This window comes from Homo sapiens, chromosome 1, assembly GCF_000001405.40.
Source record: "Homo sapiens chromosome 1, GRCh38.p14 Primary Assembly".
NCBI classification, from domain to species: domain Eukaryota; kingdom Metazoa; phylum Chordata; class Mammalia; order Primates; family Hominidae; genus Homo; species Homo sapiens.
The window spans coordinates 42326204-42339536 of NC_000001.11; the positions used below are offsets into that span (position 1 = coordinate 42326204).

Below are 13333 nucleotides of genomic sequence, written 5' to 3' on the forward strand. Positions count from 1 at the left end.
TCACGCCACTGCACCCCAGCCTGGGAGACGGAGTGAGACTCCAACTCAAAAAAAAGTCCGAAGATCCACATTTTTCCAAATTCTCACTTGAACCATAAAAATCAAACTGTATACGTTTTCTTTGAGTACAAAAATGATATATGGTCACTGTAGAGAGCTTAGAAAATATATACAGGTTCAAAGAAGAAAATTTAAATTACCCATTATGATGCATTCTCTCCCAGTCTTTTTTTTCTATGCAGATATAACTTCTCTATATACTGTTACTCTTCCCAACCACCAGGCAACAGACAACACATCTCCCACTGTGGCAGTAACCTAGGCATCCTTAGTGGAATCATGTTCCAGGGATACTTTTTCAATGTCTAAATTTTATAGATGTATACTTACATAAAACAAGACCAAATCTGCTATTGAGTAATCCTTTAAAGTTTCCCTTAACTCCTGAATTCTACGAAGACAAAGAATGCAGATTCAAGTAAAAATGCTTCCAATGACTAGAAATGGACCTAAATTTAACAAGGGGAGAAACCGCTCCCATTGGTTTTATGTACTCTAAGTCTGATATTATCATATGTTCTGCTCCAAGTAGGCCAGGTCCTTTGGGGTCTATAACCTTCCATTTTTACCTCAAAAATCCAGAGCAAGTTCCTCACCAAAACTTTGTCAGTTTCATACTAAGAGTAAGAAACAAGGAGAATGCAGGGTCTGGGTTCCAGCATCTGTTCCACCACTAAATAACTGAGTGGCACTGAGTCCTACCTAGCTTCTATCTCATCTTCTCCATTTGCCAATAGGAATATCACTATTAACACATATCACTATTAACACATATCACAAGGCTGTTATAAGTCTCCAAAATCCAACAGATCAGATAAAACACTTTTGAAAAAATATTATTCAAATGTAAGGTGGAAATCTTTTGAAAATACACATCCCCTACAATAATATAAAACACGACTTCCTCTGATACACAAAGGTGCCATTTCTGATGGTGACGGCTACCCACGTATACACAGTGGGACAATACCATCACCAGTTCTGTACACAGGGTAGACAAGTAAGGTGTCATAGACTCACAGACCCAACTATCCTAGCAGAAAGAGACGCCATGTATCATTCACCTCCTGCCGTAACAGTCTGCTCCATCCTCATTCAGAAAGGCCAACCTGACCCTGATTGCTGCATGTTTGACTGTTGTGTCTGTAATTACCCAAAATTTGATGGCCAAGCCACAGAAACTTTTTAAAGTTAATTTTAATAATTTAATAAGCACCCATGTACCACCAGCCAAAATCTAGAGTCTTTATGATAACCTACTTCCATCATATTGAATCCCCTCTCTCTGTAAGCAAACAAAATTTGCAACAGTTAGTAAGTTCTAGCAGTCTTTCCTTTATTATCCATTCCTCTCACAAATCTGTTTCAACACAATAGTGCTAATTGGAAACAAGGCTTATTAGTGGTGTCAAAGGTCAGGTCCCAATCTTAAAAAAAAAAGATGATTCCAATTTACAAGGTTTTTAATAAGGTCACACTGGCACCACACTCTACCAATCAATCAGAAGATCAATCTTATTTCCTTAGTAAACACTATACCACTGAGGAGGACTCTAGGTAGGAGAATTCCGTTAGAACTTTTTGTTTTATACTCCAGGTGAAAACTCTGACTGAAAGTCAGTTTACTGGGTAAAGCTCATCCTAGAATAGCTGGCCAACTCTATGGAATCCACAGACTCTACATTGATTTGAAGACAATAAAAATAGATATCATGCAGTTTCTGGAGAGACTCTCTAAAAATTCCCACCCAGGCCAGGCCTGGTGGCTCACGCCTGCAATCCCAGCACTTTGGGGGACCAAGGAGGGAGGAAGAGGCCAAGAGTTCAAGACCAGCCTAGGGAGCCAGCATAGTCAGATCTTGTCTGAATTAAAAATAAATAAATTAGCCAGGTGTGGTGGTACGCACCTCTAGTCCCAGCCACTTGTGGCGCTAAGGCAGGAGGATCGCTTGAGCCCTGCAGTTGGGAGGTTGCAATGAGCTCTCATGGAGTCACTATACTCCAGCCTGGGTGACACAGCAAGATCTTGTCTCAAAAAAATAAAAATTCCTACCCAAAGACCCAGTCATCTTCAAATTATTAGCGTTCAATTCAGAACAGAGTTCTCTAAGTCTGTGTTCTAAAAACAGTTCCTCTTATTGCACTCTAAGTTTGAGTCCCACTCTACAAGTATGAGTCTTGTTACAGACTATTTCATCAATTGATGATGGGAAACAATGGTCAGACAGTGTGGTATTAATGTAGGTCCAATTACATCAAAATCAAATCACTTTAGATTTAGGGTAAAAATTCTTAGAGCAACCAAGTGGCTTAGTAATTATTAGAAACGAGGCCTTTATTAATAGTCTCAAGGTCAGAGCTCTTATTTAATATGGTCCTAATTATCTCATATCACATATTCATACTTATCCTATTTTTTTTTTTTTTTTTTTTTGAGACAATGTCTTACTCCCTTGCCCAGACTAGAATGCAGCGGCATTGCAACCTCGGCCTCCCAGGTTCAAGCGATTCTCCTGCCTCAGCTTCCCAAATAGCTGGGACTGCAGGAACCCACAACCATGCCCAGCTTATTTTTGTATTTTTAGTAGAGACGAGATTTCACTATGTGGACCAGGCTGGTCTCAAACTCCTGACCTCAAGTGATCCGCCTGCCTCGGCCTCCCAAGATGCTAGGTTTACAGGCGTGAGCCACCACACCAGGTCATTTTTCCTATATTTTATCTTGTTATAGCACTAAAGTTTGACACTGTATGAGTCTCATTTCCTTTTTGTTTCATCTGTGTTGTCCTGATCCCACAGAATAATAGCCACTTTGAAAGACATCACATTCTCAGGTTATCAGTTGATATACATGTCAAATAGAATCGCAGCCAAAGGTACCTAACTACAAAAGGTTACTTAAAATAAGTAGAATGTCATTGTTATAAATATAAAAACAACATCTGGTTCCATATAACAAAGCTATTTCCATATTCCAACAGATGGCCCACAGTAATAATGCTCTGCTGATCTGGTTATAACAAATTCTATTAAATCAAAAATCCTGTACAGCAGATGCCTTTTCCAATTTCAGAGTAAGTCAATCTCTTTAACCAAAACACTATGCTTTGGTTCTTATTTGTGCACTAAAATCATGTTATGCCAATTAAGATGGTCAAATTTTGTGACAGTTGTTATAAAACGCCACTGTGGTGTTTTCTGGGTTTTGGAGTGGAAGAGGTAAAGAATAACCCCCTCTAGGACTGAAAGGCTAACTGTTCAAAATGGAAAACAAAAATTCACAGTTAAAGGAAGGCTGAGGAGAGAGGTAAAAGTGAGCTTTAGCTGTCTCAAGCCAAGGTTTCTGAATAGTGGCAATGTGGAAAGCTAAGTGACTAACAAAGCCAACAGTGAAGATCAGTGAAAATAATGTAATTTCTGAGCTGAGAAGTTTTGAGCAGGGACAAACAAAAAAATGTCTAAACAATATGTATCTTTGTACACTGTAGTGTTAAGTCCACTTTTAAAAGAAATGCGGATGCGATGTCAAGTTAAAATTGCTGTTTAACTGTTTCCCCAACTACATTCAAAATCAAATCTTCATATTCTATCATGCCCTTACTTGAAATATTATCCTCTATTAATTCGTAACACAGTAAACAGAACAGTGTAGTGATTAAGAGCCACAGAGTTCTGAAAATAGACTACAAGGGTTCAAATCCTGGCTCTTTCCATTCCTAGCTATGTTCCCTTAGTCAAATCAACCTCTCTGTGCCCATTTCCTCATCTGTAAAACTACCGTATTTATAAAATTTACAACTACAATAAACTTATAAAATCTACGATATATTTATAAAACCTACTTATAAAATTTATAAAATATTAAGGGTTGTAAGATATGGATAATGAATGTAGAGTACTTAGAACACTTTTAGGCCCATAGTAAGGCTTCAAAAAATGTTAGCTATTATTATCATTACATTATCATCACATGAACTCCATGAAAGTTCTGAAAGAAAAGAAATATGAAATGATTTGTCTAAAACACAGAACAAACAAGTGGCAGAATCTAGGGAAAAAAATCTTCATTTTAAGTCCGGAAGAAAATCAGTGGGCTGACTGCAGTGGCTCACGCCTGTAATCCTAGCGCTTTGGGAGGCCAGGGTTGGCGGATCACTTGAGCCCGGGAGTTAGCGACCAGCCTGGGCAACATAGCGAAACCACTTCTCTACAAAAAATACAAAAATTAGCTGAGCATGGTGGCGCGCACCTGTAGTCCCAGCTACTTAGGGGGCTGAGGTGGGAGGATCACTGGGGCCCAGGAGGTTGAGGTTGCAATGAGCCATGATCGTGCCACTGCACTCCAGCCTGGGCAAGAGTGAGACCCTGTCTCAAAAACAAAACAAACAAACAAAAAAAAACAGTGATTCTTTGAGTCAGTACATTTTCCAGTCCCTCTAAGTCTCCAGGAAATTACATGAGAATTTTTAAGTTAAAACAGCAGCACAGAGTAGTGGAAATAGCACAAATATGAACTAAGAAGACCTACCTGCTCCACCAATTACTTAAGTGTACAACCCTAAGCAGGTCACCTAAACTTCAAATTGCTCATCTTTAAGATATTCTGCCTTTATCACAGGGTTGTTGAGATCAAATTAGAGAATGTATGAGAAAATGTATATAAACCAATAAAACACTATATGAATGTTCAAGGGCCATGTCTTATTCATCTTTATATCCCCAATGCTTAGCAAAATGCATGGCAGAGGTTATAATCTAAAAGAAGGCCATGTGAGGGGTTGGCAGGGTGAAGATTCAATGAAAATGGGGAGGAGTTTAAAAGAATTAAGAAACTTGACCAGGCGCGGTGGCTTACACCTGTAGTCTCAGCACTTTGGGAGGCCGAGGCAGGCAGACCACTTGAGGTCAGGAGTTCAAAGACCAGCCTGGCCAACATGGTGAAACCTCGTCTCCACTAAAAACGCAGAAATTAGCGGGGCATGGTGGTGCACGCCTGTAATCCCAGCTACTGTGGAGGGTGAGGTGGGAGAATCGCTTGAACCTGGGAGGCAGAGGTTGCAGCGAGCCGAGATGGCGCCACTGCACTCCAGCCTAGGCGACAGAGAGAAACTCTGTCTCAAATAATAATAATAATAATGAAAGAATAAGAAACTCAAATGTCCATCAACTAAAGCAATGGCTATCAACGTAGTATATACATACAGTGGAATATTATTTGGCAATAAAAAGGAATGAAATACTGATACATGCTACATGGATGGGCCTTGAAACATATGCAAGTGAAAGAAGTCAGACACAAAAGACCGTATGTTGTATGAAATGCCCACAACAGGCATTTGGAATTATCAACATCTCTACAAGATTGTAAGTACATTAGTGGCTGCCTGGAGGTGAGGGTACGGGGAGTGACTGCCAATGGGTACAAGGCTTTTTTTTGAAATGCTGTCCTAAAAATGACTGTGGTGATGGTTGCACAACTCTGTGAATACACTAAAAACCACTGACTTGTATACTTTAAATGTGTGAATGAAATGGTATGTGAATTATACTTCAAGAAAGCTTTTTTAAAAAAAAAAAAGAATAAAAGTTTAAGGAGAGAAGCGTTAAAGTATAAAATCACTGGCTTTGGAACATAAGTTTGTTTCTTTTTTTAAGGAAATACTAATAATTACCATATCAGATACTAATGTCTCTACAAATCCTGTGAAAAACAAATCTGGCATCTATTCTTACCCCTCCTTTCAATTTTCTCTCTAAGTTTACAAATTATCTCTTCTGCTTTAATTCAATTGTCTTTTCATTGTAGTCACTGTTTCTGAACTTCTACACCGCATTTGAAACTGTCAACACCCTGCCCTTGTAGAAAATCTTCCTATCCTGGAAATGATGCACTTTCTGGTTCTTCTCAGAATGCTATTAGCCTATTTCAAGACCCAAAATTCCAAACCTCAAAGCTCTTTCTTCATTATACTACTACCCTCCCAACACACATCTACTGATGTGTTTTACTAGCATCTATATCCCTGGTCAGTGCAAAATCTACCTTTCATCTAACCGTTCATTGTATATGGGAATAATTACATGCATAAGGTTAAGCAACTTGCCCAAAGTCCCTTCTGATTTTAATACCTTATTATGAAGATTTAATGAATTAAACAAACGTAGGCGCTTAGAATACCTGTCATACAGTAAGTAAATGTTAGCTATTATTTTATTCCTACAACCACTATCTTATATCAGACCCTCATCAGCTTATTCCTAAAATTCTCCATAAGCACTCTAATCAGTCTCTCCACTCCCAGGACACTCAGCTGAAACAAAAACCTTCCTCAGGAACAAGATGCATCATCTTACTCTCATTCTTTAGAACCCATTGTGGTACCCTATCAAACTAAACCCTCTATCCTTGAAAGATCCTCCATCAATACCCCCTCACCAATCCTAAACTCATTTATTATTATTCACCAACACAGATGATCTGACAGTCAAGCTCCTTGATATCATTTGTACATTGCCACTTCTCTCGCTTTGCACAGGCCCCTTCACTCTCCTGAAATACACCTCTTTCCCTTTGGAAATTTGTATCTTTCTCAAATGTCCCTTACACTTTTGACCTTGGTTGTACTGTTATCCCAAGGAGAAGTTTGATGCAGTTTGATAATTCTGAATGATGTACATGTTTCCCGAACAGAAAAAGAAACTCTGTTCTTTCGATATAAGTTGAAGCTTTCCAAGAGACCACGTATCTTATTCGTCTCTTCATACAGACTTCACACATAGATAACTCGGTACTTTACAGAAGTACACAAATGCTGACTTACCAAAAAAAAACAAAAAGCCTCAGTATGTATCAGAACAACATTCTCCATTTTCCACTGCCCCACCCATACTTAGCATAATGAAAAAATATAATCTAAAATCTATATTTAAATATTTTCATTCTACATAGAAGGAAAGGGAATATACGAACTGTACCAGATAAAAGGAAAAAAATGTCAAAAATATACTCAAAGAATGTACAATGTGAAAAAGTGAGAATGCAGGCCACTTTGGAATCTAGTAAGTGACTTTGAAACATTAAGTTTTTTTATTTTACCCAAACTAATGAACAAAAAAGAGCCAAAATAAACACGTTCTAGCCTCATCCAAAAAAAATCTAATGAAAGCATGAGAAACTTCCCAGTTTTGTCCTCGGCAGCACAAAACCAAGAAGATTCACCTCAATTCTGAGACACAAAAGCAAAAAGAGAAATCCTCCTATTTATCTAAGAAACTAAAAAACTTAATCACGTCTATATAATATATACCACTCAGAAAAAGAGAGGAGTTACTGCTTTTCTATAAATATTTGCTAGGGACCAGGAGGAATAGGCTTCTCTCACTGTTATTGCGGGAACAATCTGTGGTCTCAAAACAGCAAAACAGAAGATGGAAACCCTAATCTGGAAGAGACATTAAGAAAAAAACTACTCAAACCATGTTTCAAACCAGTTTCAAAAAAAGAGTGTGCAATGGGTACTCAACAGAGTAAGAGGAAAAGTGAAGTAAAAGAGCTTCTACAAAATAAGTGACTAGGTGAAACTAGTGCTGCCTTGTGAGAAAAAGAGCTATGCATATAACGCTCCTATGACATCACGCTTTTTCACTGGGAAACAAAATAGAAGGAAGAAAACACACACAAATAAATCTCAGAAAAAGACCAAAAAGGTGCCCACCAATCTCTAACTCCTTCAGGAATTAGAGTGAATGGCTCTAACTCATTCAGGAATCCAACCAGGGACAACACAGACGTGGAATGCACCAACACGGAATAGTAAAACCTTTGCTAACCAGACACACAAAAAGTAAAACAGAGAAATGAAAACTATACACCTGAATGCATCGGTAGCAAGCGCTTATTCTCTATAATTAAGCAACAGAGAAAAGAATAAGAGCAGCTAATGGAAGAGGAAAAAAGATGTTAATGAAACTAAGCCCTGTTATGTCCCCTACTGGCCTCAATTTCAGAGTACAACTCTCGATTCTTCATCTAACCAACAGCCGGCCTCGGCAAAGCAAACTGACCCTAACACCTTCCACGCCACCCGGAGGAAATCACAGAGGAAAAACCATCCCGTTAACCTCCCTCCTCACCAGCTGCAAAAATGGAGCTGGGAGGGGGGGCGGGAGACACTCTACCACGTGGGCAGGATGCAACACACACAGGACAGCAACACGTCCGCATGGAACGGCTGCCTTTGCCCTAATCCCAGCAAAGGACACAGACACAGGATGGGCGGGAACGCAAGCACCCTCGCATGGGCCTCCTCTCCCCAAAGGGCCACTCCAAGGCGTGAGGTACAGCCCGCCCTGCCGGCAGAAAAGCGCCCCCAAGCTTAAAGGGAAGAAGCCGCAGAGTGCCGGGGTCGGGGGCTAGCCCAGGCCAAGGGACAGGTCATGGAGGGAAGGAGACGGTCGCTGCCCTCGGACTAGGCGCCCCCGGGATCCACGTCTGGTTCCCCGGTGCCCCGCCTGGGGGAGGGGCGGGAGACGCGAAGCCGCTGCTTCCCAGCTGAGGGGCAGCAGCAGCTGAGAAGCGCCGCGGGGGAGGGAAGGACCCAGCCCTCGGCGTCCGCCAGGCCCCAGCCGGGGCCCAGGCCCCCTGCCCCACCCGCCGCCCACCCCGCAACGCGGCTGCGGCTGGAAGAGAGAGGGCGTCTCGCGGAGGACAGCCCCTGCCTCCGTCCCGGGAGATGCCACAGCCCCGCCTCCTCGCCCGCCGCCCAGGCCCGGCCGCCCTGGCGGGGGGCACTTACCTCAGGCTGCGCAGGCCGGGACGGCCCGGCCGAGCCCCCGGCCGCTCCGTGCGTCTCCGCCCCCCCGGGAAAGGTCCCAACGGTGCCTACTGCGAGCGGTCGAGGCCCCGAGCAGCCCCGAGAGCGGCGGCGGCAGCAAGAGCAGCCAACATCCGGGGCCGCGCACCCGGAACTACTTCCCGACCCGCATCCCCCGCCCGCCCTCGCCGCCACCGCCTCCTGCGGCGTCGCTGCGCCGCCGGCCCGGCGTCAGCGGCGTCAAGTCCCTGCGCGGTCACGGTCGCTTCGACGCACGCAGGATCCCTCCGCTGGGACAAGTAGTGCCCTGAGACTCCCGAGGCTCTGCATCGGCGCAGCCGGTGTCATCTAGCGGCCGGCAGTTCCGAGCGACTTGGGGTCCTTGTGCCTCGGAGTGGCGTCTGGGAGCAAAGGCGGCGGAGGCAACCCCGCAGTTGAGGACAGTAGGGATCGGTGGCTTTGGACCCTGCCCACGGATACCTGGGGCCCCATGCCCCGAAGGAATGGTGCCTTCTGCCCTCCCCCGCCCCCCAACATCCGCCACCTCACCGAAGCGCCCGGCACCTTAGCCTCCTCTCCAGGAAAGCGGACGCCTTTTCCGACCTGGCACACCGCGGATTCCGGGACCCCCAACAAAGGCGCCTTGGACCTTCAGGACACCCCTCTTTTCAGAACTTCATGAGTCCCAGGTGCTAGACTCATGTCTGCGGAGGCCTTTCCCGTGCCTGGTCTTTCTTTCTTTCTTAAAGGAGTTGGACCTCTAAAGGCCCTTCTAATTCTCAAGGTAGCTACCCAGGTTATGGTACTACTATCAGTAGGTGGAGCGTTTAGAAGGGTAGTTTGGTCGACGAGTGAACTTTGGAATTTACTTCTACGTCAGTCTTCACTGATTCTTTCTCTAAACTATTAGCACTGATAATCTGCCCTATAATTTCACACTTAATTACATTCCAGTGTAGTATTTGCTGTTGCTTCATTCGCGTTAGTCACATATTCCCCTGCAGCGCCAAACACGCTTTTGAACTCACAATGGGTGGCTCAATATTTGGAGACTTAGATATTTGTTAGATGAATACTAGGCTGATTGGATGAGAGGAAAAGGAGAGGCATGAGTGAATTGGCCCTGGGTACTTTTTTGACATAGTCTCAAAGGGTTCAGATAAAGACCTCCAGCAGATCTGAGCACACAATTCCTTCAGTAAACATTGAACACCTGCCGTTTGGTCAAGCATTTCTAGGCACTGGAGATTCAAAGTATTCACATATTCCTTTTCTTTATAAGACTAGCAAGATTCTGAAGATTCATGTACTCATTCACTCAACAAATATTTGCCAATCACTACTAAGGTTGCCAGACACTATTTTAGTGCTTGGGATGTATCAGTAAACAGAAGAGAGAGAGAAAACAAATACCCTTCCCTGTTGGAGCTTTCATTCTAATATAAGGAGAAAGATGATAAATGTAAGAGAATTATGTAATATGTTAGAAGGCATATGGGGAAAAAAAAATACACCAGGGTAAGGGGTATGAGGAAAACTGGAGGAAGGGGGTTTGCAATTTTTTTTTAAGAGGGAATCCTGCTCTCCCGCCCAGGCTGGAGTGCAGTGGCGCGATCTCAGCTCACTGCAACTCCCGGGTTCAAGTGATTCTCCTGCCTCAGCCTCCTAAGTAGCTGGGATTACAGGCGCGCGCTACCACACCCGGCTAATTTTTGTATTTTTAGTAGAGATGGGGTTTCACCATGTTGGCCAGGCTGGTCTCAAACTCCCGAACTCAAAAGTGATCCGCGCTCTTCGGCCTCCCAAAGTGCTGGCATTACAGGCCTGAGCCACCGCGCCTGGCCTGCAATTTTAAATAGAGCCGTCAGCATGGGCCTCATTTATAAAATGACTTTAAATCGGAGACCTGAAAGAGCTGAGGGAGTCAGCCATGCAGTTGTCTGGGGAAGAGTGTCCCAGGCAGAAGGAACAGCTAGCTGGTGGAAAGGCCTGGAGACAAAAGCCTCGGGAAGTGTTAAAAATAATGAGAAGGCCAGGACGGTTGGAGCCGTGAGCAAATGGGAGCCTAATGAGGAGATAAGATCAGAGAGAGGGGTCTCAAGTAGGGAGCTGTAGGAATCTTGGCTGAAACAGAACCACTGCTGGGCTTTGAACAGAGGAGTGATAGGATCTGACTCGTGCTTTCAAAAGATCACTCTGGCCGCCGTGCTAAGAGCAGAACTAAGAGGACAATGGTGGAAGCCAGAGGCTCCATTACCCAGGTACAGAATGATGGCTTGAACTAGATAGTAGCAATGAGTAAGATAAATAAGATGCAGTCTCAGCCGGGCACAGTGGCGCTTGACTGTAATCCCAGTTATTAAGGAGGCTGAGGCAGGAGGATAGGATCACTTGAGCCCAGGAGTTCAAGTGCAGCCCGGGCAACACAGCAAGCCCCCATCTCTAAAAAATAAATAACGTACAGTCTGTCTATGGTCTCCCAACACTTAGGCAGAGGCGGAAGATTGCGTGAGCACAAGAGTTCAAGACTAGCCTGGGCAACATAAGGAGACTGTCTCTACAAAAATAAAAAAATTAGCCGGCAGGGTGGTGTGCATCCTTGGTCCCAGCTATGTGGGAGGCTGAGATGGGAGGATTGGGCCCAAGAGGTCAAGGCTGCAGTGAGTTGTGACTGCGCCACTGCACTCCAGCCTGGGTAACAGAGTGAGACCCTGTCTTTAAAAAAAAAAAAAGAGAGAGAAACTAGACTTAGCTCCAAGTCTGGAGCTTTTGGGGTTTTCTTCCTTTATAAAAATTTTTTAACTTTATAGAAATGGGATCTCACTATGTTGCTCAGACTTGTCTTGAACTCCTGTTTAGCACCACCTCTTACAAGTGTTGGGCAGCTCCGCTTCTCTCACTTGTCTGGAATTCTAAGGCACTTCCCTGAAGTGCTCATCCTGAGCTAATATGGGATAGGGCTGGAGAGAGAACAGAGGTGGATAGCTGCCAGAATGAGGTGGGAAGGTGGGGATCAGCAGCCTTTGGGAAGGAAAGAAGTATGAGTCCCAGGGTATTAAAAGGTGGAGGGGCAATAAAATTTATTACATATGGGATTCATACTAAATGAGTAGATTTTAGCTTCTCTTGCCACAATAAACAAAAAAAATGGATAACTGTGTGAGATGATGGCTCTGTTAATTTGCTTCACTATAGTGACTTTTTGACTATCCCATAACATCATGTTGTGTACCTTAAATATATAGATTTAAAAAAGTGGAGGAGTATCTCTCCTCAAAAAAAAAAAAAAGAAAAAAAGAAAGAAAGAAAGAATAAAGCAGGCCGGGCATGGTGGCTAACGCCTGTAATCCCAGCACTTTGGGAGGCCCAGGTGGGAGGATCACTTGAGCTCATGAGGTTGAGACCAACCTGGGCAACAAAGTGACACCCTGACTCTAAGAAAAATAAAAAATAAATAAAAAGCTAGGATGGCCAAAGCAGCAGGGGGAATTCTGGAACATTGTGAGGAGGAAAAGCTTAAAGCCTAGATTGAGAAGGCAGACCTAGATTCAAGTCTAATATTCCATAGCTTACTTCCTTTGTGCCTACATCAGTTATTTAGTTTCTCTTAGCCTCTGTTTCCCTGCCTATAATATGGGAACAATAATCATAGCTATGTAGCAAAAGAGACCATGCACAGGCTGCCAAAAATAAAGGTCCCCAAGACAGCTGTTATTATTTATAAGGTCCCAGTGTCAGCACAGAAAAGAGTATAGTAGTTGACTGTCTTGGGAGACGGGAGTGGACTAGAAGGGAGGGTGCAGAGCAGGATAGCCTTCAAAGAGGAGATATTATCCAGCTCAAGGGACAGATCCTTAAAAGACACAGATTGCCCAGAGGAATGAAGTAGTGGTTTTATTGTTTTGTATTGTTTGCAATCTTGTCCTAGCTTCATCTGAATTCTGAATTCTCTGAAAGGAACACAGCCCAGAGCTGGGCTGCAATAGCCCTACAAAAACCTTGATTGGACACTGGCAGTGCTTCAACAGCTGAGTGTTCAACACTTCACATGACCTAGACGCTAAGATAAATGAGCCTTCACCTGATCCTTTTCTCCCTCTGTATTTATTGTAAGAGGAAATCAGAAAATGAGAAATGAATTTAAAATGAGCCAAGACTTGCAAGAGGGAGAGGGAAAAACACGAGAGAGCCCCTTCTATTATTCCTAGCCCGGGAAGAGCCTTCCAGATTTCCTGGGTATCTTTATCTAATATTTTATAATTCTTGAATTAGGTTTTTTAAAAGGCTATATGTAGGCCATCTGAGAGGTCTCAGCACTACTGACTGCTATTTAAGGAAAATGCTTGGGCATTGGTCGCTATGCACACTTAAAGAGCATTCAATAATCATTTAGCAAGCACCTACTCTATACCAGATGTTGTACTAAATACCAAGGAGTCAAAAGAGAATAAAAGAGAAGC

General features: G+C 43.4%; 1 protein-coding gene across 9 annotated transcripts in view, besides 3 other annotated features; it reads right to left on the reverse strand.

Moving 5' to 3' along the window:
* The window catches only part of FOXJ3 (forkhead box J3), a 159333-nt gene extending 149656 nt beyond the window's left edge, over positions 1-9677 (reverse strand). For 3 of the 9 annotated variants that reach the window (XM_047449488.1, NM_001198850.2, XM_024454163.2), the window contains exon 1: positions 9423-9677. The gene's annotated coding sequence lies outside the window, so the exon portion shown is untranslated. Of the gene's footprint in view, positions 1-200; positions 8753-8855; positions 9033-9422 lie in introns of those variants that run through there. The other 6 variants (NM_001198852.2, NM_014947.5, XM_047449489.1 and 3 more) reach the window with 4 other exon arrangements.
* Positions 8007-8964: an enhancer, noted in NCBI's record as "NANOG-H3K27ac-H3K4me1 hESC enhancer chr1:42799881-42800838 (GRCh37/hg19 assembly coordinates)". NCBI's record gives its function as "activates a minimal SCP1, AML or CMV promoter by ChIP-STARR-seq in primed H9 embryonic stem cells {active_cell/tissue: H9 hESC(primed)}" and the evidence as "EXISTENCE:reporter gene assay evidence [ECO:0000049][PMID:30033119]".
* Positions 8007-9068: a biological region, named in NCBI's record as "NANOG-H3K27ac-H3K4me1 hESC enhancer GRCh37_chr1:42799881-42800838".
* Positions 8549-9068: a silencer, noted in NCBI's record as "silent region_758". NCBI's record gives its function as "represses an Ori minimal core promoter by ATAC-STARR-seq in GM12878 lymphoblastoid cells {active_cell/tissue: GM12878}" and the evidence as "EXISTENCE:reporter gene assay evidence [ECO:0000049][PMID:35858748]".
* Positions 9678-13333: the final 3656 nt, after the last annotated feature.